General features: G+C 39.7%; 2 protein-coding genes and 1 long non-coding RNA gene across 8 annotated transcripts in view, besides 2 other annotated features; 2 read left to right on the forward strand and 1 right to left on the reverse strand.

Moving 5' to 3' along the window:
- ZNF230 (zinc finger protein 230) overlaps positions 1-4,402 on the forward strand; it is a 10,968-nt gene extending 6,566 nt beyond the window's left edge. Inside the window, exon 5 of the mRNA NM_006300.4 lies at positions 747-4,402. Coding sequence (NP_006291.2) covers positions 747-1,942 — 1,196 coding nt within the window. The 3' untranslated portion in view covers positions 1,943-4,402. The remainder of the gene's footprint in view (positions 1-746) is intronic.
- Positions 4,403-11,301: 6,899 nt separating this feature from the next.
- ZNF222-DT (ZNF222 divergent transcript) lies at positions 11,302-15,760 on the reverse strand. Of its 2 annotated transcripts, none has more exons than NR_184028.1 (3): positions 15,593-15,760; positions 15,376-15,497; positions 11,302-14,377 (listed from the first exon to the last, which is right to left on the reverse strand). It is a non-coding gene; the product is annotated as a ZNF222 divergent transcript (long non-coding RNA). The 2 variants fall into 2 exon arrangements; NR_184027.1 differs by having other exon boundaries at positions 15,357-15,497.
- Positions 15,823-15,872: an enhancer, noted in NCBI's record as "active region_14749". NCBI's record gives its function as "activates an Ori minimal core promoter by ATAC-STARR-seq in GM12878 lymphoblastoid cells {active_cell/tissue: GM12878}" and the evidence as "EXISTENCE:reporter gene assay evidence [ECO:0000049][PMID:35858748]".
- On the forward strand, positions 15,857-23,588 carry ZNF222 (zinc finger protein 222). Of its 5 annotated transcripts, XM_005259208.4 has the most exons (5): positions 15,857-15,956; positions 16,504-16,564; positions 17,501-17,627; positions 17,876-17,968; positions 22,295-23,588. In XM_005259208.4, the coding sequence occupies exons 2-5, from the start codon at positions 16,550-16,552 to the stop codon at positions 23,506-23,508; spliced, it is 1,449 nt and encodes a 482-aa protein (XP_005259265.1). In that variant the 5' UTR covers positions 15,857-15,956; positions 16,504-16,549; the 3' UTR covers positions 23,509-23,588. The 5 variants fall into 5 exon arrangements, with proteins under 5 accessions (XP_005259265.1, NP_037492.2, XP_016882726.1 ...); NM_013360.3 differs by lacking the exon at positions 17,876-17,968; XM_017027237.2 differs by lacking the exon at positions 16,504-16,564 and having other exon boundaries at positions 21,418-23,588.
- Positions 16,103-16,152: an enhancer, noted in NCBI's record as "active region_14750". NCBI's record gives its function as "activates an Ori minimal core promoter by ATAC-STARR-seq in GM12878 lymphoblastoid cells {active_cell/tissue: GM12878}" and the evidence as "EXISTENCE:reporter gene assay evidence [ECO:0000049][PMID:35858748]".
- Positions 23,589-23,836: the final 248 nt, after the last annotated feature.

Raw genomic sequence — 23,836 nt, forward strand, 5'->3', positions numbered from 1 at the left:
CTTGCATCATCTTTTCCAGCCACGTTGTCCTCCCTGCTGTTACTCTGTCCTGTCATGGACACTGTATTCCCTGTTGCTGGTAACAAATAACAGACTTCACAGATTAAACAACACTTTTGTTCTTTCTGACATGGGGAGGACGGTCTCCCACCCCTCACCCTCGAAAGGAGTGGCCAGCCACAACCCTAAATCATATTGTTTCACTATCCAGAGTGATCCAGAGTTGGCACCCTAACAAACAAAGACACTGTCCTCCCGCATGATATGTCAGGATCCTAGAGATTACCTCTCAGATGCTGAGGACAAAGTTCTGACTTCTTTTTACTTAGGGTAACTTCTATATAAGGATATACAACATAAACACAGATATATAAACTATTGATTTTGTTATTGTTTTTCCTTAAATTTCCTTTTGATTTATATTTCACTATGAACATAATGTTTTAATTTAGTAATTTATCATGCAAGATTTTTGACTGACCAGAAAATTCCTTAGAAATAGTAACAAATTAAATGTATATATTATATCAGTTTTTTAATGGAGTCTGTTATTTCCATCAAGGATTTTACATATGAGACATGGTGTGGTTATAAATTGGTCACATACAAACCAGAAAACAAGATTCATGGGGAAAACATAAACTGAACATTCATTAAAGTTGAATGCCATATCCTAAGTGTGAAATCTTAAAAACACCAAACAAAGGCTTCATTTGTCCACATCTCTTCATTCTGTGTCCTTATAGGCGGCAAGACTATTGCGGAAGCAGGACCACATGAAGACTGCCCTTGCCAGCAAATCTGGGAACAAACTGCAAGTGACTTAACCCAGTCTCAAGACTCCATCATAAATAATTCTCACTTCTTTGAACAAGGTGATGTCCCCTCCCAGGTTGAGGCAGGACTATCTATAATTCATACAGGACAGAAACCTTCACAGAATGGGAAGTGTAAACAGTCCTTCAGTGATGTTGCCATCTTTGATCCTCCTCAGCAGTTCCACTCAGGAGAGAAGTCTCATACATGCAATGAGTGTGGAAAAAGCTTCTGTTACATCTCAGCTCTTCGTATTCACCAGAGAGTTCACTTGAGAGAGAAACTCTCTAAGTGTGACATGCGTGGTAAGGAATTCAGTCAGAGCTCATGTCTGCAAACTCGTGAGAGAGTCCACACTGGAGAGAAACCATTCAAATGTGAGCAATGTGGGAAAGGCTTCAGATGTAGAGCGATACTTCAAGTTCACTGCAAATTACACACAGGAGAGAAACCTTATATTTGTGAGAAATGTGGGAGGGCCTTCATTCACGATTTCCAGCTTCAGAAACATCAGATAATTCATACTGGGGAGAAGCCGTTCAAATGTGAAATATGTGGTAAGAGCTTCTGCCTTAGGTCAAGTCTTAATAGGCATTGCATGGTCCACACAGCAGAGAAACTGTACAAATCTGAGGAGTGTGGAAAAGGCTTCACTGATAGCCTAGATTTGCATAAGCATCAGATAATTCACACAGGACAGAAACCGTACAATTGTAAAGAATGTGGGAAGAGCTTCAGATGGTCCTCATATCTTTTGATCCATCAGCGAATCCACAGTGGAGAAAAACCATACAGATGTGAGGAGTGTGGGAAGGGCTACATTAGTAAGTCAGGTCTTAACTTGCACCAGAGGGTCCATACTGGAGAGAGACCTTATAATTGTAAGGAATGTGGGAAGAGCTTTAGCCGGGCTTCAAGTATTTTGAATCATAAGAAACTCCACTGCCGGAAAAAACCCTTCAAATGTGAGGATTGTGGAAAGAGGCTTGTACACCGGTCTTTCTGTAAAGACCAACAAGGAGACCACAATGGAGAAAACTCATCCAAATGTGAGGACTGTGGGAAGCGCTACAAGAGGCGCTTGAATCTGGATATAATTTTATCATTATTTTTAAATGATATGTAAGTTGTACATATATATGGGATATGGTATGAAATTTTAATATGTGTATATAATACGTAATGATCAAATTGATGTAATTAGTGTATTACCTTAAACAATTAACATTTCTTTGTTTTGGGAAAATTCAAAATCCATTGTTCTAGCGATTTGAAAAGAAACAATAAATTATTGTTGATTATAGTCACCTTTGGTGCTTTAGAACACTAGAATGTATTTCTCCTATCTAGCAGTACTTATGTATCTTGTTACCCAATCTTTGGCTATCTCACCTAACCCCTACACTTCCCTGCTTCTAGAACCACTGTTTTACTCACTAATTCTATGAAATCAACTTTTTTAGCTTCCATATGTGTGTGAGGACAGTTAGTATTTATCTTACCTTGCTTAGCTTATATTGTTTAACATGTCCTCCAAAGCTCATCTATGTTGCCACAAATGACACAATTTTGTTTTCTTTTTATGCCCAAAGAGTATTCTATTGTGTATATATGCCACCTTTTCTTCATTTATCTATTGATGGACACATAGGTGGGTTCCATATCTTAACTATTGTGAAGAATAGTGCTCCAATGAACATGGTAGTGTAGATATCTGATCCACATACTGATTTCCTTTGCTTTGGATATACTCAATAGTGGGATTGCTAGATCACTCGAATCTTATGCCTCAGAGGCTTGACACAAGAGCAAAACTATGGAAGTGTGGCTAGGGTGATATGGCTTCATACCACCTCAGGCCTCAAGTCCTCAACTGCACCAGAGTGTCCACGTTGGACAGAATCCTTAGTAATGAGGTGTGTGATAAAGTCTCTGCTCAGTTGTCTATAATCTCATTTGAGAGTTCACAAAGGGGCAAAACATTAAAAAGAGGCATATGGTAAGCACTTCAGTGTGTGTTTATATCATAATTTATCACAGTCCATACTGATAATATATTTCATCCAGGCTTGTAGGACAGAAAACATTTGTTTAAGTTAAATTCAGTGTTTCACCATAGCTCAGCATTCTCCCATCATCCTAGGACCATCGTAGTAGAGAACTCTTGTAAATTGTGCAGTAGGGTTGCAAACAGAACTTACGCTTGTCATTCAGGAGACAGGCCTTAGAATAAGAGTTTGTTCACACATTTACAAAACCCTAATGATGAACATGTCAAAAGTGGTGACCACTAGAATGTCAACTACAGGTACCTTGTTTTCTGCATCCTCAGGACCTTAACACTGATTAGCACTTACATGTTTAGTATGTGTTAAATGACTCAAAAGGAGAAAATATGATATTTTAAAATTGCATCTAGGAGAGAAAATCTACAAAAAATAATTCAGGGACACGAGTTAAAATGCAGAATACACTCAGTTCTGCAATCCAAAGCATTATTTTGGGTAATCTTACCCTGTTGCACTTGGCTGCTGGCTTCCCCTCATCCTCTGTTCTGAAGTTTACTACTAGTGGCTTTGTCTAATGCTCCATTGGTTGCATACAATATAAATTCAACAATCATTTGTAACTCTTCTCACACTACAGGCTGAAAATGGTTTGTTAACTTGTCAATAACAGTCCACTGCATATATCACAATTACATTTTTTTCAACAGTGTTAAGGCAAAATTTATAGTAATACTTTTTACGTGGCAGATGTAGTTACGTTGGAAAAAACTTCCTTAGTTCTGAATTCTCATGATTGCTTCTGTATTTCCATGCAGGCCTTGATATAATGGCCTTCTAATTGTGGTAGCATTTATTTTATCAAACAACTCAGGTAGAAGCTATGCCAATTTGACAATTTTTGGAAACCTAACCTAATATTCTCTTCCTATCTCTATGAAATACCAAGAGAAACCTATCGGAGTTTGGTAATTTCATGAAATGTATCCATGATTGGGGTAGGAGTGACATTTACATGCTCTTCTTTATTGTTGGCAGTAAAAATAAGTCTTTTGTAAGCAGTGTATATCAGAATGTATAAGGTACAAGTGTTTTACCTGGAAATGATGGGATAGGAAATTATGATTATGATGTTAAAACTGTGAAAAGTAGAAAACCACATGGATGATATCACCCCATTTTAAAATGGAATAAGTATTCAACAAGAATTTGTGTGAAATGCATTTATTCCTATAACATAAGACCAATAAAATGAGGGAACCAGACATACAGTAAAAGGAGAAAAACATAATGTGAGCTTTGTGAAATCTGACTGTAACCTTCATAACATAATCAAATATCTTTGTGTGTTTCTGGGACTTTTTAATGTGTATATACGTAATTTGTGAACAACTATTCTTTCCTCTGGCAATGAATATTTGCTGGTATTTTTCCATTTTATAATTTTATGCATTTTTTCTCAGTGAACATCAGTTTTATCAAAGCAGTAAATTTAGTGCAATAAATTTGCAAACTTATTAACGTTAATCACTTACCTACCAGGACTCAGAATCTCAGAATAAAATTGCTCTATATTGTCATATGATGTAAGTTCACAATGACTAGGGCATTTTGAAGTCATTTCAAAGTGAAATACTCTCTGGTTGGGCCAGGCGCAGTGGCTCACGCCTGTAATCCCAGCACTTTGGGAGGCTGAGGGTGGTGGATCATGAGGTCAGGAGATCGAGACCAACCTGGCTAACACGGTGAAACCCCATCTCTACTAAAAACACAAAAAATTATCCAGGTGGTGGCGGGCGCCTGTAGTCCCAGCTACTCGGGAGGCTGAGGCAGGAGAATGGTGTGAACCCAGGAGGCAGAGCTTGCAGTGAGCTGAGATCATGCCACTGCACTCCAGCCTGAGCAACAGAGTGAGACTCTGTCTCAAAAATATATATATATTCTCTGGTTTTTAGAATATGCAGATAAAGTGATGAAGTCTGGTTAACTGTCTTGGTAATTAAAGCATGTGATGCTTCTTTAGGGATAAGTCAGGGAGTGTGCAAATACTGGAGATCCTGCCCAGTGCCCAGACACAGCTGATTTATCGAGACAGAGAATTCACAATAGCGAAAGAATTTAATACACATAGAACTGGCTAAATGGGAGACAAGGGTTTTATTATTACTCAAATCAGCCTCCTTGAAAATTTGGAGGCTAGGGTTTTTCATAGATAGTTTGACAGGCAGGGGGCTAGGGAATGGGTGCTGCTGGTTGGCTGGGGATGTGAAAAATGGTCCTTGTGCATTAAGTCCACTTCTGGGTGGGGGCCACAGGACCAGTTGAGTCAAGAGTCATGGGTTTAGGTGGGGCCATCTGGTTGTCAGAAATGCAGAAGCCTGAAAAGACATCTCAAAAGGCCAGTCTTAGGTTCTACAATAGTGGTGTTATTTACTGGAGTAACTGGGGAATTTGCAAATTTTAAGACCTCTGGAATAACAGCTGGAAATCAGAATAATGACTGGTAATCCTTTACACATATATCTTAGAATTCAGGCCCCTCTCATCCTCGTAAACTAGTGGGGCCTTTCAATAGTATTACAAAGGCAGTTTAGTTTGGGGGAAGGGCTATTACCATTTAAATTATAAACTAAATTCCTCCCCAAGTTAGCTGGGCCCACGCCCAGGAATTACTACCAAGGGCAGTTTGGTGGTTAAAAGCAAGATGGAGTTGGTTAGATGAGATCTCTTGCACTGTCATAATGTTCTCACTGTTATAATTTTTACAAAGGTGATTTCAGAGATTGAAATAGATATACATATGTGTGAAGGTTGTTTGTTTTTTGTCTTTTAAAGCAACAGATCTTCACCTGAGGTCAGGAGTTCGAAACCAGCCTGGCCAACACGGTGAAACCCTGTCTCTACTAAAAATACAAAAATAACCGAGTGTGGTGGCACATGCCTGTAATCGCAGCTACTCAAGAGGCTGAGGTGGGAGAATCACTTGAAACTAGGAGGCAGAGGTTGCAGTGAGCCAGATCACGTCATTGCACTCCAGCCTGGGTAACGAGCAAAACTCCATCTCAAAAAATTAAAAAAAAACAAACAGATCCTTTGAAAACCAGAGGTGTATGGGCAGGGAACATAGTATGACAGCAGCAGAGCTTCTGTTGCTATGGATCCAGTTAGAACAAAGACCTGGTTTGGATGCCAATTCAGAGTTATATACCATGGTGTTGACAAAAAGAGTCAAACTCTATAAAATATAAAGAGGTTTATTCTGAGCCAAATATGAGTAACCAAGGCCCATGACAAGGCCATAAAAGGTCCTGAGAACATGTGCCCAAAGTGGTTGGGTTATAGCTTGGTTTTATACATTTTAGGGGGACAGAAGTTACAGGCAGATATCAGTCAATACAGGTATACATTGATTTGGTCTGGAAAGGCGGGACAACTCAAAGTTGGCCATGGAGGTGCTTCCAGGTCTTGGGTGGGTTCAAAGATTTTCTCATTGGCAGTTGGTTCAAAGAGTTATCTAAAGGCCTGGAATCAATAGAAAGGAGTGTCTGGATTATGAGAAAGGGTTGTGGAGACCAAGGTTTTTATTATGCAAATGAAGACTCCATGGTAAATGGTAAATGTCTCTTATCAGTTGAAAACAGTGCCAGACTCTTCAGTTAATTCTCTCCTAGAGAGAGACCTGGGAAAGGAAGAGGAATGTAGATTTTACAAAATGAATATACTAAGCATGCTAGATTCTAATGAGATTGCTCTGATTTGACAATATTAAAGGTTTTCTTAATAAATTGACTTCCAATCTTATCTTTAATGTCTGTAGTACTCTTGTGCACTGAATATTATTTTTTTCATTAAACACTTTTCTGTAGATCCTGAGGAAAAGATACAAAAAAAATTTGAAAAACTCAAAAGGCAGTTTCCTGCTGATGAACATCTGTGGGATAATTGATTTTAATGGATTTATAGTGCATAGACTATAGTCCCTATTTAATCAAGCACTAATATAGACATTGTGATGGTATTTTGTAGACATTCAGCCCATAATCAGTTGGCTTTGAGTAGGGATATTATGCTAAATAAGGGTAGGCCTGATCAATCACATGAAGATCCTTCAGAATAGAGCTGAAGCTTCTCTGAATGAAAAAAATATTGCATCTTCTGGTGGCATCTTCCTCTCATGGGTTAGAGTCCCATCTTCACCTTTCTGGTGGCCAGCCATATGCATTTTGGAATTGCTTAGTGATATGGTTTGGCTCTGTGTCCCCACCCAAATCTCATGTTGAATTGTGATCCTGAGTGTTGGAGGTGGGGCCTGGTGGGAGGTGATTGGATTATGGGGGCTGTTTCTAATGATTTAGCATCTATCCCCCTAGTGCTGTCTTTTTATGGAATTCTGATGAGATCTGCTTGTTTTAAAAGTGTGTAGCACCTCCTCCTGCTCTCATTCTCTCCTGCTCTGCCATGGTAAGACATGCTTGCTTCCCTTTCACTTTCCATCATGATTGTAAATTTCCTAAGGCCTCCTAGCCACGCTTCCTGTACGGCCTGTAGAACTGTGAGTCGATTAAACCTCTTTTCTTCATAAATTACCCAGTCTCAGGTAGTTCTTTTTTTTTTTTTTTTTTTTGAGATGCAGTCTTGCTTTGTCACCCAGGCTGGAGTGCAGTGGCACGATCTCGGCTCACTGCAACTTCTGCCTCCCAGGTTCGAGCTATTCTCCTGCCTCAGCCTCCCGAGTAGTTGGGATTACAGATGTGTGCCACCATGCCCAGACTAATTTTTGTATTCTTAGTAGAAACGGGGTTTCTACTATGTTGGACAGGTTGGTCTCGAACTCCTGACCTCAGGCGATCCACCTGCCTTGGCCTCCCAAAGTACTGGGATTACAGGTGTGAGCTCACTGCACCCAGCCAGGTAGCTCTTTATAGCAGTGTGAGAACAGACTAATAGACTTAGCCAGTTCCACCGTGCCAAAGTAGAGTTCCTTGCAATAATTGCTTGTATATGTCATACTGATTCTGTTTCTCTGGTTGAATGCTGACCAAAAGACATTTTGCCCCACAAGAACTTCTAGAGGAAGAGCACCCTAAGGATGAGTTTTCTAAATTGATTGTGTTTTCTAGAATTGGATTTCTACTCTTACTAAATTTAAGAGCACTATTGACTTTATTTCCAGTGCAACATAGGGAACTGGTTGTGAAAGGCATGGTGTGATAATATGCCAAATATCATACTGAATAATCCTAATCAAATGCCTATTGGAATGATTCTGGTGACCATGAATTTGTTAGTTTAGGACACAGTAGACAAACTTATCAGTATAGTAGTATTTTCTGGATGCTCCTAGTTGGGCTTCAGAAATTAGGAAAGAAGGCTGGGCGCTGTGGCTCACGCCTGTAATCCCAACACTTTGGGAGGCCGAGTAGGGTCGATCACGAGGTCAGGAGATCGAGACCATCCTGGCTAACACGGTGAAACCCCATCTCTACTAAAAATACAAAAAAGTTAGCCAGCTGTGGTGGCACGCACCTGTAGTCCCAGCTACTTGGGTGGCTGAGGTAGGAGAATGGCATGAGCCCGGGAGGCAGAGCTTGCTGTGAGCCGAGATTACGCCACTGCACTCCAGCCTGGGTGACAGAGCGAGACTCCATCTCAAAAAAAAAAAAAAAAAAAAAAAAAGAAGGAAAGAAAAAGATGAGGTCAATCACTATGCAGGGCTTAACTATGCCTTGTTGATCTTGGTATTCACAGTAAATAAATTGATGGGAAATCTATGATACTGTCACTGGGTTTGTGTTGTCAGAAGAGTTCTATTGCAGGGGAAGAGAACTCTAACTGCAACCACCTAACACAGTCACAGCCCTCAAATCAATTCCAAGACATGTCCAGTTTACAAATCCACATTCATTTACATAAAGGGGAGGCCAATGTTAGATGAGTATGGGCCCTGATACATTTCAGAGTTCTCCATAGGAAACCATGGGCATAAACCTGTGACTGAGTACATAAAAGGAGAAATAATCACTCTTTTGGGCAATGACTGAATCCTTATTGTCAAATGGCACATTGATATGATGATCAGACATGGTGAGGAGAAAGTAGGAACTACACTAGGCATATTAGTAAGACACATACATGACAGAAAGGAAGAATAAATCCTATAAATATTCATGGGCCTTCCACTTTGGTGAAATTTCCATAGGTTCACTGATGTGGGACTATTGAGATATCCCTTCTAAGATATAGGACAAGTAGCATATGGTACTTCCTACAACCAAACAAAGTGTCACAATGTCTAGTGGCCCTCCTTGGCTGCTGGATGCTACTTATGCCTCGCTGGGATATGCTACTCTGCCTTTTTTTGTCTGACCCAAAAACATTTTGCCTCAACTAAGATACCATAAGGCTGTGTAATGTATCCTGGCTGCCATGTAAGTTTCTCTACCCCTAAGACACTGTGGACCAGGAGATCCAAAAGTAATTGAAATATCAGTGACAGAGAGTGATGTTTGGAGCCACTGGCTGGTCACATTTGATGAATCAAACCACAGATGGATAGGATTTTGTAGCAAAGCCCAGTCATCCTCTACATATACTTACTCTTTCTCTTTTTGGTAGAGACAGGGCCTTGCTTTGTTGCCCAGGCTGGTCTTGAACTCCTGGCATCAAGAGATTCTCATTCTTCAGCCTCACAAAGCAATGAGTACAGGTATGAGCCCCCACCCCCAGCCTACTTACTCTTCTTTGGAAAAGCAGCCTATGATTTTGCTAGTGGTCTTAGCAGAGACAGAGCACTTAACCATGACCTACCAAATTAGCATGCGTGCCAAGCTTTCCATCATGAATTGGGTGTTGTTGGCCCTTCCTTGTCTTTAAATTGTATGTGCACATCGGTATTCCATTTGTAAGTGGTATATGTATGATTGGGTTTGAGCAGGCTCTGAAGCCACAGATAAGTGTATCTAAGGCCCATGACCCCTACTCCTACTATGTTATCTTCAGAATGAGTGAACATGAAGACAAGTCCTATGAATTATTGTGTCACAGCAGCAAAAAGAAATGAAGTGATTAAAAGTAAACAAAGCCTAAAGGACCACATGTGCATTATAGGTGTCCTGGGTAGAGAGAAAGAAAGCCAAGAGAGATTACTTATAGAAATAAAAGCTGAAAACTTCTCAAATATGAAAAACACATCATTCTGTAAATCCAAGAAGCTCAATGCATTTCAAGTAAGATAAACCCAAAGGTACCCAACTGAGACATGTTATTTAAAAATTGTTGGAAACCAAAGACAAGCGAAAAATTTGACAGCAGCAAGTCCAAAGTGACTTGTCATGTACAAAGAAATCTTTAATGAAGATGTCAGCAGATTTCTCAGCAAACATCTGAGACTAGCTGATATATTCTTTGCTAAAAACACATACACACCATACATACACACACACGTCTATTGAGAATTCAACATTCAGCCAAACTGTCCTTCAAACTTGAGAGATAAATCTATGTGAATGGGTAGACAATATGTATAGACATAATATATGACATCAGTTGTACAAAGTGGGGAGAAGGAGAAGCTGTGAATGAGTAGTGTTTTTGCACGTGATTGAAGTTAAGCTGGTATCCATGGAAAACAGTTTGCTACAACTTTAGAATGTTACATGTAGAATGTTACATGTAAGTCCATGAATCAGAAATGTTACATGTTTCTAACTACAGATACTAATGAAACATACACAAAGGGAAATGAGAAGAGATTCAAAATGTATCACTACAGAGAAAGAAATCAACATCAAGGAAGGCAGTAATGGAGGATATGAGGCAAAAGAGCCAGAAGACATATAGAAACAAATAAAATGGTAAGACCTTCCCTATGAATAATTGATTTACCATAAATGAATTAAACACCCTAACCAAAAGATGTAGTTTGGTAAAATGATTGAAAAAAACAGTATCCAAGTGTATGCTCTGCACAAGGGATTTGCTTTAGATCTAATAACATGCATAGACTTAAAGTGAAATGATGGGAAAGTTTTTCCATATCAATAGTAACAAAAAGACAGAAAGAGTGGCAGAAAAGAGTGGCAGAGACAAAGAAAAACTATATAATGCTAAAGGGTGATTCCACCAAGAAGATATAGCAGTTATAAACATATGTGCACCACACATCAGAGCTCCAAATTACATGAAGCAAATACAGAATTAAAGAGAGAAATAGGCAGCTCCCCAGTAATACAGTTGACCCTTGAACCACATGGATTTGAACTTCACAGGTCCAATTATATGTGGATTTTTTTTTAGTGAAACACACATTGAAAATACAATATTCATAGGATGTGAAAACCTAATATATGGAGGGCCAACTTTTTGTATGCACAGGTTCCATAAACTTGAGTATGTGTGGATTTTGGTATATACAGAGCTCCTGGAAACAATCGCCCCTGTAAACTGAGGAACAACTGTAGTAGGACACTTCATACCTCACTTTCTTTTTTAAAATTTGTACTTTTATTTTAGATACAGTGGGTATACGTGCAGGTTTGTTACATGGGTATATTGCACCAAGATAGTGAGCATAGTATCCAATAGGTAGTTTTTCAACACACGCCCCACACCCTACATCCCCCCTCTACTAGTTCACAGTGACTATTGTTCACATGTTTATGTCCATGTGTGCTCAATATTTAGCTCCCACTTATAAGTGAGAACATGCAGTATTTGGTTTTCTGTTCCTATGTTAATTCACTTAGGATTATGTCCTCCAGCTCCATCCACGTTACTGCGAAGGACATGATTTCAATTCTTTTTTTATGGTTGCATAGCATTCCATGGTGCTTAACATACAAGTGCATGTGTCTTTCGGTATAATAATCTATTTTTCTTTGGGTATATATCCAGTAATAGGATTGCTGGGTTGAATTGTAGTTCCATTTTAAGTTCTTTGAGAAATCTGCAAACTGCTTTTTACAGTGACTGAACTAATTTACATTCCTATCAACAGTGTATAAGCATTCCCTGTTTTCTACAGCCTTGCCAGCTGTTGTTTTTTGACTTAATAGCCATTCTGACTGCTGTGAGATGGTGTCTCATTGTGGTTTTGATTTGCAGTTGTCTAAAATGGTTAGAGATGATGAGCATCTTTTCATATGTTTGTTGGCTGTGTGTATTTCTTCTTTTGGGAACTGTCTGTTCATGTCCTTTGCCTATTTTTTAATGGTGTTATTTGGTTTTTGCTTGTTGATTTGTTTCAGTTCCTTATAGATGCTGGATATTAGACCTTTGTTGGATGCATAGTTTGTGAATATCTTCTCCATGCTGTAGGCTGTCTGTTACAGTTTCTTTTGCTGTGCAGAAGCTCTTTAGTTTAATTAGTTCCCACTTGTCAACTTTTACTTTTCTTGTAACTGCTTTTGGGGGACTTAGCCAAAAATTCTTTGCCAATGCTGATGTCGAGAAGGGTATTTTCTGTTATTTTCTTGTAGGATTTTTGTAGTTTGGGGTCTTATACTTAAATCTTGAATCCATCTTGTGTTAATTTTTGTGTATAGTGAAAGGTAAGGGTCTAGTTTCATTCTTCTGCATATGGCTAGCCAGTTATCCCAGCACCATTTATTGAATAGAGAGTCCTTTCCCTGTTGCTTGTTTTTGTTGCCTTTGTCAAAGATCAGATAGTTGTAGGTGTGTGGCTTTATTTCTGAGTTTTCTATTTTGTTTCATTGGTTTATATGTCTGTATTTGTGCCAGTACCATACTGTTTTGGTTACTGTAGGCTTACAGTAGTCAGAAGGTTGATAGTGTGATGCCTCTAGCTTTGTTCTTTTTGGTGAGGATTGCTTTGGTTATTCAGGCTCTTTTTTTGGTTCCATATGAATTTTATGAGACCAATGTGCTGCCTACTCCACTAAGGAGTCAACTCCATATGAATTTTATAATAGTTTTTTATAATTCTGTGAGGAATGACATTGCATACCTCACTTTCAAATAGATAAGAAGACCAGACAGAAGATAATAATGAAATAAAGGACTTGAAAAACCCTACATACCAATTGGACCTAAAAGACATATACAGAATACCTCATACAACAACAACAATAGAATACACATTTTCTTATTTATACATGAAACACTCTCCAGGATAGGCCATATATTATGTCATAAAACTAAAGTTGACAAGTGGGAACTAATTAAACTAAATTTATTGTCTTAATAAATTTAAAACTTTAGTACCATAGGAAATATTTTTTTCCAATTATAACCTAGCCAAAAAACCCTGGAAATCAATAGCAGCATGAAAAGTGGAAAATTCACAAGTATGTGGAAATGAAACAACACATTCTTAAATAATCTACATGTCAGACTAAATTAAAAGTAAAATTAGAAATATCTGGAGAGAGCTAAAAATAAAAGCAATGTGTCAAAATTGGTGGGATGAGAAAAAAAGCAGTAATAGGTGTGAAATTTGTACCTGTAAATACTTAAATTAAAAAAGAAGAAATATCTCAAATTCACAACCCTATTTTACATTCATGAACTACAAAAAAGAATCTGAATAAGAAAGCTAGTGGAAGGAAGGAAATAATAAACATTAAAGCAATGATACATAGAGAATAGAAAAACCAAGAAAATCAATGAAACCAAGAGTTGGTTATTTTCATAAGAAAATTATGAAAACTTCAGTGAGATTGAATAAAAAATGAAGACAGAAGGCTCAAGAAACTAAATCAGAAACAAGAGGGGACATTATTACCAATTTTTACAGAAATAAAGATGATTGTAATAGAATACTATATACAATTGTATGCCAAGAATTTGTATAACTAGATGAAATAGACAAATTCCTTAAAGCATACACCTTACCAAATCTGAATTATGAAGACAAAAAAATCTGAGTAGACCTCTAACTAGTAAGGAGATTGAATCAGTAATCCAAAACCTCCCAATGTAGAAAAGCCCAGGATCAGATGGCTTCACTGGCAAACGCTTCAACACATTTAAGGAACATTTAACACCATAGCTGCTCAACCTCTTCCCAAAAATGCAAGAAGAGAGAACACTTCTTTGATCCTTCTGTCAGGTCAGTATTACCCTGATGCCAAACCAGAAAAAGACAATTCAATAAAATTATACACCAATATCCCTTATGAATACTGATGCAAGAATTCACCAGCAAAATACCAGCAAGATCCAGCAGCATATTAAAAGGATTACACTTAGTGACCGAACTGTTTTATTCCTGGAAGGCGAATATAATTATGGTTCAACATACAAATATCAATGTAATACTCCACATGAGCAGAGTGGAAGGTATAAATCACATCATGTCAGTGAATGCAGAACATTCAGTTTCACAAAATTCAGCACCTAGCACCTTTTCATGATTGAAATACCAAATAACTAGAAGGAGAATAAACTACCCCAGCAAAATAAAGGCTATATATGGAAATTCTCAGAGCTGATTGTCATACTCAATGGTGAAGGACTGAAAGCTTTTCTTCTAATATCAGGAACACAATGAGTTTTCTCCACTTTTCCCACATTTAGTCAATGTAGTATTGGAAGTTCTATGCAGAACAATTAGATAGAAAAAGAAAATAAAGCTATTAAAATTGGAAACAGAGGTAAAATTGTCTATATGCTAATGACATGTTCTTATATATAAAAATTCTAAAGAATTCACAAGAAAAAAAAACTCTTAGAGCTAGTAAAGTCAGAAAGTTGCAGGAAAAATATCTACATAGAAGAAGCAGTTGTATTTCTATACAAAAACAATTAATCTGAAAAGGAAAATAGTTCCCTTTGCAATAGCATTAAATAAATAAATTACTTAGGAACTGTCTTAACCAATGACAAGAAACACTTGGACACTGAATTTTGCAACATCTTACTAAAGAAAATTAAAGAAGGCACCCCAGGCATGGTGGCTTATGCCTGTAATCCCAGCACTTTGTGAGGCCCAGGCAGGCGAATAACTTGAGGCCAGGAGTTCGAGATCAGCCTGGCCAACCTGGTGAAACCCCTGTCTTCACTAAAAATACAAAAATTGGCCAGGTATGGTGGTACGTGCCTGTAATCCCAGCTACTTGGGAGGCTGAGGCAGGAGAATCGCTTGAACTCAGGAGGCGGAGGTTGCAGTGAGCCAAGATTGTGCCACTGCACTCCAGCTTGGGCGACAGAGTGAGACTCTGTCTCAAAAAAAAAAAAAAAAAAATTAAAGAAGGCGCAAATAAATGGAGATATATCCATTATTAATGGATTGGGCGACTTGATATTGCAAGGCTGTCAATACCTATATCTATAGATTCAATGCAATCCTTAATCACAGTAACATTTTTCTCAGAAATGAAAAAATCCACCTGAGATTCATGTGAAATATCAAGGGACACTCTCTCCCATGGTCATATTTTAGACCTCGTCATTTTCTAGCAAATATTCCTCCATAATAATTTGCAGCACTACTCTCCAACAACTTTGACTTGTATTTCCACCTTGGTCCCACCAGCATGCTAGCATCAGTAATATTAGAACCTCGCCAATACCTACAGTCCACTGAGACGATCACCTTTTTACTCTTTCAACTCCTCGTGTACTCACAGCCTGCCAAGCACATTTCTTGTCAGGAGAGGACAGCTCACTTCTCCTAATGTCTCACTTCCCAAAATTGTGTCCCATGAAAATTTCTAGCTAGATGAAGGCAGAGAAAGAAAATATTTGATTTCTTAGGCTTTATGGAAGCGATAGGAATGGCAATAGTGGTTTGGAATGGAGACTGCACGCACCAGTCAACAGGGTGTGTCCCGAATAAGCAGTGGGTAAAGGACATTTACTGAAATGCTATCTCCAACTCCACTTCAGGAAAGCTTGCTGCAGAGTTAGAGTGATATAGTCCAAATGCTCTGTTTGAGTCGCGGGCCCTTTGTCTCACACGGGCGAGTCCGGGGAATTCTGGGAAGTGGAGTCCACACGCTCTGTGGAGGCTCGAGCACTTCCGGTCCCCAACTGTGACGTTGCTATTTCATTTACCACAGTAGTTTGAGTCATTTCCACATCTTGCGAGTCCTTCCGAACGAGTCTCCTTTCCTTGGGGCTCGCAACCACCCAATGATCGATTCAGGAGAAAAGAAGCCTGGGCGGAGAGCAGAGGTTTGGAGGGGCGCGGGCGGGGATTGCCGTTCCAGTCAGCTGAGCCTTCTGGCGTCGGGGGGCTCTGCTAGGGTCTCAGGGAGTGGGATTGGCGCGGCCCGGTGTGCCCTACTTTGACCTCGCTTAGTCCGCCTCCCTCCTCCCTACGTGTGCAGCCCCTTTCAGTGTGGTGTGGAGTGTCACTTAATGTCCGTTTATCTTCCATTGCTGGTTCGTTTGTTTGTTTGTTTTGTAACGGGACTTTTCGGACCATCCTAATGGATTCATTTTGGGACCTGAAAGAGGTAACACAAATGAGAGCCTTAAAAGCAGTCCCTGTCACTCGGTGTCTGGTGGTCTCTTGTTAATTTCCCACGAAGCCTGTCAGGTCCTCTGGTGGGGTCAGAGCTCCAGCTGCAGGGGCGCCGGCCCTTCTGCCTGATCCCTGCAGGACGCTGGATGATCCCTGACGCCTTCTGACCTCTTTTTAGGAAAGTGAGGGGAGCATTTAACTTTTATGGGGGACGGCAAAACGGTCAGGGTGTTTCACAGCTTTCTTTTTCCCCAGCCCGACCTTTCTAAAAGAGCTGCAGGAAGGGACTTCTTGGCTACTGATGGCAAAGCTCTACGTGAGTGATCCTTGGCTTTTTTTCTTTGACAGAGATGCTTACCTCAACCGAGAGTGTGTAGGATTTGTCCCTCGGGCATGGGTGTCGATAATGATTAAGCCTTAATTGGTAACTTTATTCCAAGTACTTTATACCCCAAAATACATGATCTTCACAGTGGCACTGTGGAGAGGTGCTGCTTTTTTCATTTTAAAGATGGGCGTGAGACACAGGTGGAGCAGGAGTTGAAACCTAGGCAGTCCAGGTTAGAGCCTGAGTTGATCATCTCTTGAATGCAATTCTCATTGAGGCAGAGGTACTAGCTGGGAACAGGTGGAGAACGTAAGTTAGGACTTGATTGAAGGCACCTTGAGGCAAGGCTCAGGGGCTTGGACTTCTATAGGAGTTTTTGTTTGTTTGCTTTTTGCTTTTTAATTTTTTTAACCTTATCTACTATTTTCTTTCTCTCTCTCTCTCTATATATATATATATTTTTTTTTTTACAGAGTTTCGCTCTTGTTGCTTAGGCTGGAGTGCAGTGGTGCAATCTTGGCTCACTGTAACCTCCGCCTCTCGGGTTCAAGTGATTCTCCTGCCTCAGTCTCATTTTCGTCAAAGGGCCCGCGACTCAAACAGAGCATTTGGACTATATCACTCTAACTCTGCAGCAAGCTTTCCTGAAGTGGAGTTAGAGATAGCATCTCAGTAAATGTCCTTTACCCACTATTTATTCAGGACACACCCTGTTGACTGGTGTGTGCAGTCTCCATTCCAAACCCCTATTGCCTAATCAGTCATTGTCAGGACACAAACAGAATAAGTAGGAAATCTATAAGCTGACCTATGTCTCTCAAGATCCAAAACAACTTTACACTTGTCCCTTGTGCCAGTGCAATGCTGCTGTCTCCCAATAGTCTTTGGCCGTAAGATTGAGGTGACATCTGCTTGATGTTGTAGGAGGCAGTGACCTTCAAGGATGTGGCTGTGATCTTCACTGAGGAGGAGCTGGGGCTGCTGGACCCTGCCCAGAGGAAGCTGTACCGAGATGTGATGCTTGAGAACTTCAGGAACCTGCTCTCAGTGGGTGAGGACGGGCACCCCCTGTAATGGAATGTCAGGCCCCAGGAGTGGTTTTTTAATCCTAGGGTTTTCAAGTTTGAGTGTGCAGTGAGAACCTACATTTCCAGTAAATTTTGCCTGGCTATTAGGTTGGTGCAAAAGTAATTGTGGTTTTTGTCATTGGAAGTAATGGTACACTGCAATTACGTTTGCACCAACATGATATTACCTTGAACATGTTGGGATTAAGCATGTGACTTTGCCTGTTCACAGGGCATCAACCATTCCATGGAGATACTTTCCACTTCCTAAGGGAAGAAAAGTTTTGGGTGATGGGGACAACAAGCCAAAGAGAAGGGAATTTGGGTAAGAACCAAGCAATTGTGTGTCCCTGCATGTGATTCCTGTTACTTCTGTCCATGCCCATTTCCAGCATTTTGGGGTAAATGGCCAAACCTGTTTCCTGGATTATTACAGCCTTCTCCCTGCTGATGCCCCTGCTCCCACCCTTCCCACCCTGCCATCTGTTCTTACGGTAGCCAAAGTGATCCGTAGGAAACGGAAGTCACATTGCCATTCCTCAGCTCAAAGCCTTTCTGGCTTCTTGTTTTTATTAGTGTTACAACCTCTTTAAGTGGCTTTTGTAGACCCTGTGATCTGCCCTTCATCCCACACTGTCTGACTGCATCTCCTGTCCTCTCCCCCTTGCTCCATCTTTTCCAGGCACCTTGTCCTCCCTGCTGTTTCTCTATCCTGCCAAGGACATTGTATTGCCTATTGTGGCCGGTGACATAAAACTCAGCAGACTGAACAAGAAACACTTATCTTTCTCTTCTGTAGGCCTGAAGTCTGACACATCTCACTGGGCAAAAATCAAGTGGTCTTAGGGCTTTGTTCCTTTCTGGATGTTCATGGGGAGAAGACTTCATTTTGGTTTACCAGTCTCTAGTCACTGTCCACACTCCGTGGCTCTTGTTTCCCTTCCTCCATCTTCAAAAGCAGCTACATTGCATCCCTGACCATTCTTCCATAGTCATGCTTCCTCTGCCACTCTTCTTATGCCTTCCTCTTTCACCTTTCAGGTCCCTTGTGATAGTATTCATCACTCCTGGATGATTCAGGATGACCCTCCCACTTTCTGCTTAGCTGGCTAGTGACCTCAATGGCATCTGTAGCTTTAATCTCCCTTGCTGTGGAACATAACGTGTTCATAGGTTCTGAGGACTGGATGTAGACATCTTTCAGGAATGATTATTTTCTCTACTACAAAAGCTTCTGCCTCCGAGCCCTCACTTGCTCTTCTCTCTGATTGGAATACACTGTCCCCACAAAACTTACTGACCCCTCTTTTAGTTTATGCAGCTCTCTGCTCAGTTTTAATATCATGGGAGAGGTCGTCTCCAAGCACCTTATTGAAAATACTATCCTATCTTTACTCTTCTTGGCCTGCCTGTGTTGTGTCTCATGTATTTTTGTCTACTGATAAGTCGCCCCTCCCCTTTGCAATGTAATCTCTTGAAGGCATTTATCTGTTTCTTTATGACTGCATCTTCAGCACCTAGAATACTCCTGGTACATGGCAGTTATCTGTAAATATTTGGTATTCTTATGAATGAATTAATGGATGAGAGGACTTGACTGTCTGTAAGAATCATGGAGATAGCTAATAAGTAACAGACATACAAGAGTGAATGTTATATAGTCATGCCTTGGTAGCCGTGGGGTTTGATTCCAGGACCCCCTTGTGGATACCAAAAGCCAAGGATGCTCAAGTCCCTTCTACATGTAAAGTATTTGTGTATATCCTACACACACCCTTTCATATACTTTAAGTCATGTCTATATTAGGTATAACACCAAACGCAATGCCTACCCATCGCTTTATTCACATGGATTCAATGTATAGGACTCAATGTGAGAAATTCAAGTTTTGCTTTGTGGAACTCTGTGGAATTTTTTTTTTCCAAATACTTCTGATGCACTGTTGGTTGAATCCATGTATGCTGAACCCACAGATATAGAGGCTGACTATATGTTGCAGGACAGTTGTTGGTTTGTTTTGTTTTGTTTTTTTTTTTTTTTTTTTTTTTGTCTGTGCAGGGCTGCTTATCCAATTTTGACTTTCTTAGGTTCTCTTGACATGGTTGGTTTTCTGTGTGTGCAGTTGACCCACATCCCATGGAAACTTTCAAGCATGGTTTTCATGACCACATTGAGAAACATGCCTTCCCTGGGGCTTACCCTTGAGCTTTCCTTAAGGACCGTGTTTATGTCTGTGAGAAATTCTTTATATCTATGAGCTGAATGTTGCTTATATTTCCAAATGTTTTTCTTCAAAAAATGTGTCTATTTCTGCATCTTTATACAAATTTAATTGTCAAAAATGTGAAGGAATATAGATTTTACTGAAATCTTTCTTTATATTTATAGAGATATAGTGTTGTATTTTCATCTGGTGAACTTTATGACCTGAAAGGAATTGGGAAACTGCTCTCAAAATAGAAACCTCCCGAAGGATACTCTCCCTTCTCTTTAAAGACTTATTTATACGTGACAGCATATTAAATATATCCATGTACTACTGTGTACTGAAAGGTACATACTTATCAATTAATATTTTCCAAGATTCTTTCCATTGGAAAAACTTGGAAGTTATCTTTCCATTGGAAAAATGTACCTAATTCAGGACTTGGTAATATCCTGACAAAGTTCTAAACATTTTGTGAGCATTAGCCATAGTAAGAAACATATCTGTCAGTGTAACACGGACAAACATTTTTCATGTGTGTAGATGTGTGTGAGTGGCTTTAGTAAGCAATTCATGTAATGACATTTTTCCTGCTTGTCATAATGCTGCAATAATTTTCATTCTAGTTCTTGTTTTGTAAATGTTTATTGCAGGTTTTAACTTTATTTCAGCTCATTGAGGCATAGTCTTGAGTATAAAAAGTTATAAAGCCTGTTTACCTCATAGACTTTCTTTTCATTCCACGTGTTTCTGAACAACTTTGATTGTCTGATCAGGAGCATCCCCCTTTGTGAACCCCTGGAAGGACAGCCTTTCAGATTCCCCTCAGAACTACAGTTGTCTGTCCCTGTACTCTTTCAGATAACCAAGTTACTTACTATCCATATCAAAACAGAAAAATAAGATTAAGTATTTTTATACATGTGTAAAATTATTGTGGGGGAATACTTTGAAGGTATAGATATTAAACACTCTGAGGTGTTTGGTGTTAACATTGTGAAGAGTTCAACCAACTACGAAGTTTAGTGGGACGTTTTACAGAGGACTGCTCTCACTTCACATCAAGTGAAAATTCGGCAGCTTTTCAAAACTATCTTCATGTTTAGTAATTTGCTAGAAAGACTCTTAGAATTCACTGAATGCTTTTATCCTCACAGTTACTGATTCTTACAGGGAAAACATGCATATTATAGTTAACCAAGAGAGAAACTAAATAAGACAGAGTCCAGGGAAGTACCAAATCCTTATTTTCTATTGTATTCTCCCAGTGGAGTGGGGTATGTTACATTGTCAGGATTAGCATGTGACTTAGACACAGATAACTCCCAATCAGGGGAACTTACCTGAGTGCTGGGGTCCAGAGTAATTACTGGGGCTCCAATTTCATAGCCATGATTGGTTGGTTGATTCCCATGTGGTTGTTTAGTCTCCTGGTTCACTGATTCCCTGTGAGGTAAAGCCCTTCCATGAATCACACTGATGTTCTTTCTGATGTGAGGAGTATCACCCCCCATGCCCCAAAGGAGTGGCCAGTCACAACCCTAAATAATATTGTTTCACTATCCAGAGTTACCCAGGTTTTACCCTCAAGCAAAGAGACTCTCCTCAGGCATGACACTTCAAGATCCTAGAGATTACCTCTCAGATGCTGACGACAACGTCCTGACCTCTTTCAAGTTAGGTTAACTTCTTTGTAAGGATGTATAACAGACAAATATACAAACTGTTTATTCGTTATTGCTTCTCCTTAAAGTTCCTTTGGATTCATATTTCACTACATATGTAGTATTTTAGCTTTATAACTTACCACACAAAATTTTAGACTGACTAAAAAATTCACTAGAAATAGCAACAAGTGAAATGTATATATTAATTTTTTAAATAAGTATTTTATTTCTATCCAGAATTTTACATATGAGACATGGTGTGGTTCTAAATTGGTCTCATGCAAACCAAAAACCAGGGTGCACTTGGAAAACAGAAAAATGAACGTTCATTAAAGTTAAATCCCACATCCTAAGTGTGAAGTCTTGAAAACACTGAACAAAGACTTCACTTGTCCACATGTCTTATTTGGTGTTTTTGTTCGTTTGTTTGTTTCTGTTTTTGTTTTGTTTTGTTTTGTTTTGAGACGGAGTCTCACTCTGTTGCCCAGGCTGGAGTGCAATGGCCTGATCTTGGCTCACTACAACCTCTGCCTCCTGGATTTAAGCGATTCTCCTGCCTCAGCCTCCTGAGTAGTTGGGATTACAGGTGTGTGCCACCACACCCGGCTAATTTTTGTGTTTTTAGTAGAGACAGGGCATCACCATGTTGGCCAGGATGGTCTCAAACTCCTGACCTCACAGTCCACCCGCCTCGGCCTCCCAAAGTGCTGGGATTACAGGTGTGAGCCACCGTGCCTGGCCTACTTGTCCACATGTCTTAATTCTGTGTCCTTATAGGAGGCAAGATCCAAACTGAGATGGAGACTGTTCCAGAAGCAGGAACACATGAAGAATTTTCCTGCAAGCAAATTTGGGAACAAATTGCAAGTGACTTAACCAGGTCTCAAGATACCACCATAAGTAACTCTCAGTTATTTGAACAAGATGACAACCCCTCCCAGATTAAAGCAAGACTATCTACAGTTCACACAAGAGAAAAACCTTTCCAGGGTGAAAATTGTAAACAGTTCTTCAGTGATGTTTCCTTCTTTGATCTTCCTCAGCAGTTATATTCAGGAGAGAAGTCTCATACCTGTGATGAGTGTGGAAAAAGCTTCTGTTACATCTCAGCCCTTCATATTCATCAGAGGGTCCACATGGGAGTGAAATGCTATAAGTGTGATGTGTGTGGTAAGGAATTTAGTCAGAGCTCACGTCTGCAAACTCATCAAAGAGTCCACACTGGAGAGAAACCATTCAAATGTGAGCAGTGTGGGAAAGGCTTCAGATGTAGATCAGCACTTAAAGTTCATTGCAAATTACACATGAGAGAGAAACCTTATAATTGTGAGAAATGTGGGAAGGCTTTCATGCACAATTTCCAGCTTCAGAAACATCACAGAATTCATACTGGGGAGAAGCCATTCAAATGTGAAATATGTGGTAAGAGCTTCTGTCTTAGGTCAAGTCTTAATAGGCATTGCATGGTCCACACAGCAGAGAAACTGTACAAATCTGAAAAGTATGGAAGAGGTTTCATTGATAGGCTAGATTTGCATAAGCATCAGATGATTCATATGGGACAGAAACCATATAATTGTAAAGAATGTGGGAAGAGCTTCAAATGGTCCTCATATCTTTTGGTCCATCAACGAGTCCACACTGGAGAAAAGCCATACAAATGTGAGGAGTGTGGGAAGGGCTACATTAGTAAGTCAGGTCTTGACTTCCACCATAGAACCCACACGGGAGAGAGATCTTATAACTGTGATAACTGCGGGAAGAGCTTTAGACATGCTTCTAGTATTTTGAATCATAAGAAACTCCACTGCCAAAGAAAGCCATTGAAATGTGAAGACTGTGGAAAGAGGCTTGTATGCCGGTCATACTGTAAAGACCAACAAAGAGACCACAGTGGAGAAAACCCATCCAAATGTGAGGACTGTGGGAAGCGCTACAAGAGGCGCTTGAATCTGGATATAATTTTATCATTATTTTTAAATGACATATAAGTTATACATATTTATGGAGTGTGAAATTTGATACATGTATATAATGTGTGCTGATTAAATCAGTTTAATTTCACCTGAAACATTATTTGTGTTGGAAAAAATTGAAAATCTGTTTTTTGGATTTGAAAACAAGTTACTGTTGGTTATAGTCACCTTTAGTGCTATAGAACAATAGAAGTGAAGTAGTGAGGAGTTTGTTTGTTTGTTTGTTTGTTTGTTTTGAGACGGAGTGTCACTCTGTCGCCCAGGCTGGAGTGCAGTGGCGTGATCTTGGCTCACTGCACCCTCCATCTCCTGGGTTCAGGCCATTCTCCTGCCTCAGCCTCCT

The sequence above is a fragment of the Homo sapiens genome, chromosome 19 (genome assembly GCF_000001405.40).
Source record: "Homo sapiens chromosome 19, GRCh38.p14 Primary Assembly".
Classification (NCBI taxonomy): Eukaryota; Metazoa; Chordata; class Mammalia; order Primates; family Hominidae; genus Homo; species Homo sapiens.

Coding starts and splice junctions, on each gene's coding strand:
- ZNF222 (NM_001129996.2), top strand. CDS start 15,915: ATGATCGATTCAGGAGAAAAGAAGCCTGGGCGGAGAGCAGAG. Junction 15,957..17,500: donor AGCCTGGGCGGAGAGCAGAG/GTTTGGAGGGGC, acceptor TTGATGTTGTAG/GAGGCAGTGACCTTCAAGGA. Junction 17,628..17,875: donor CAGGAACCTGCTCTCAGTGG/GTGAGGACGGGC, acceptor GCCTGTTCACAG/GGCATCAACCATTCCATGGA.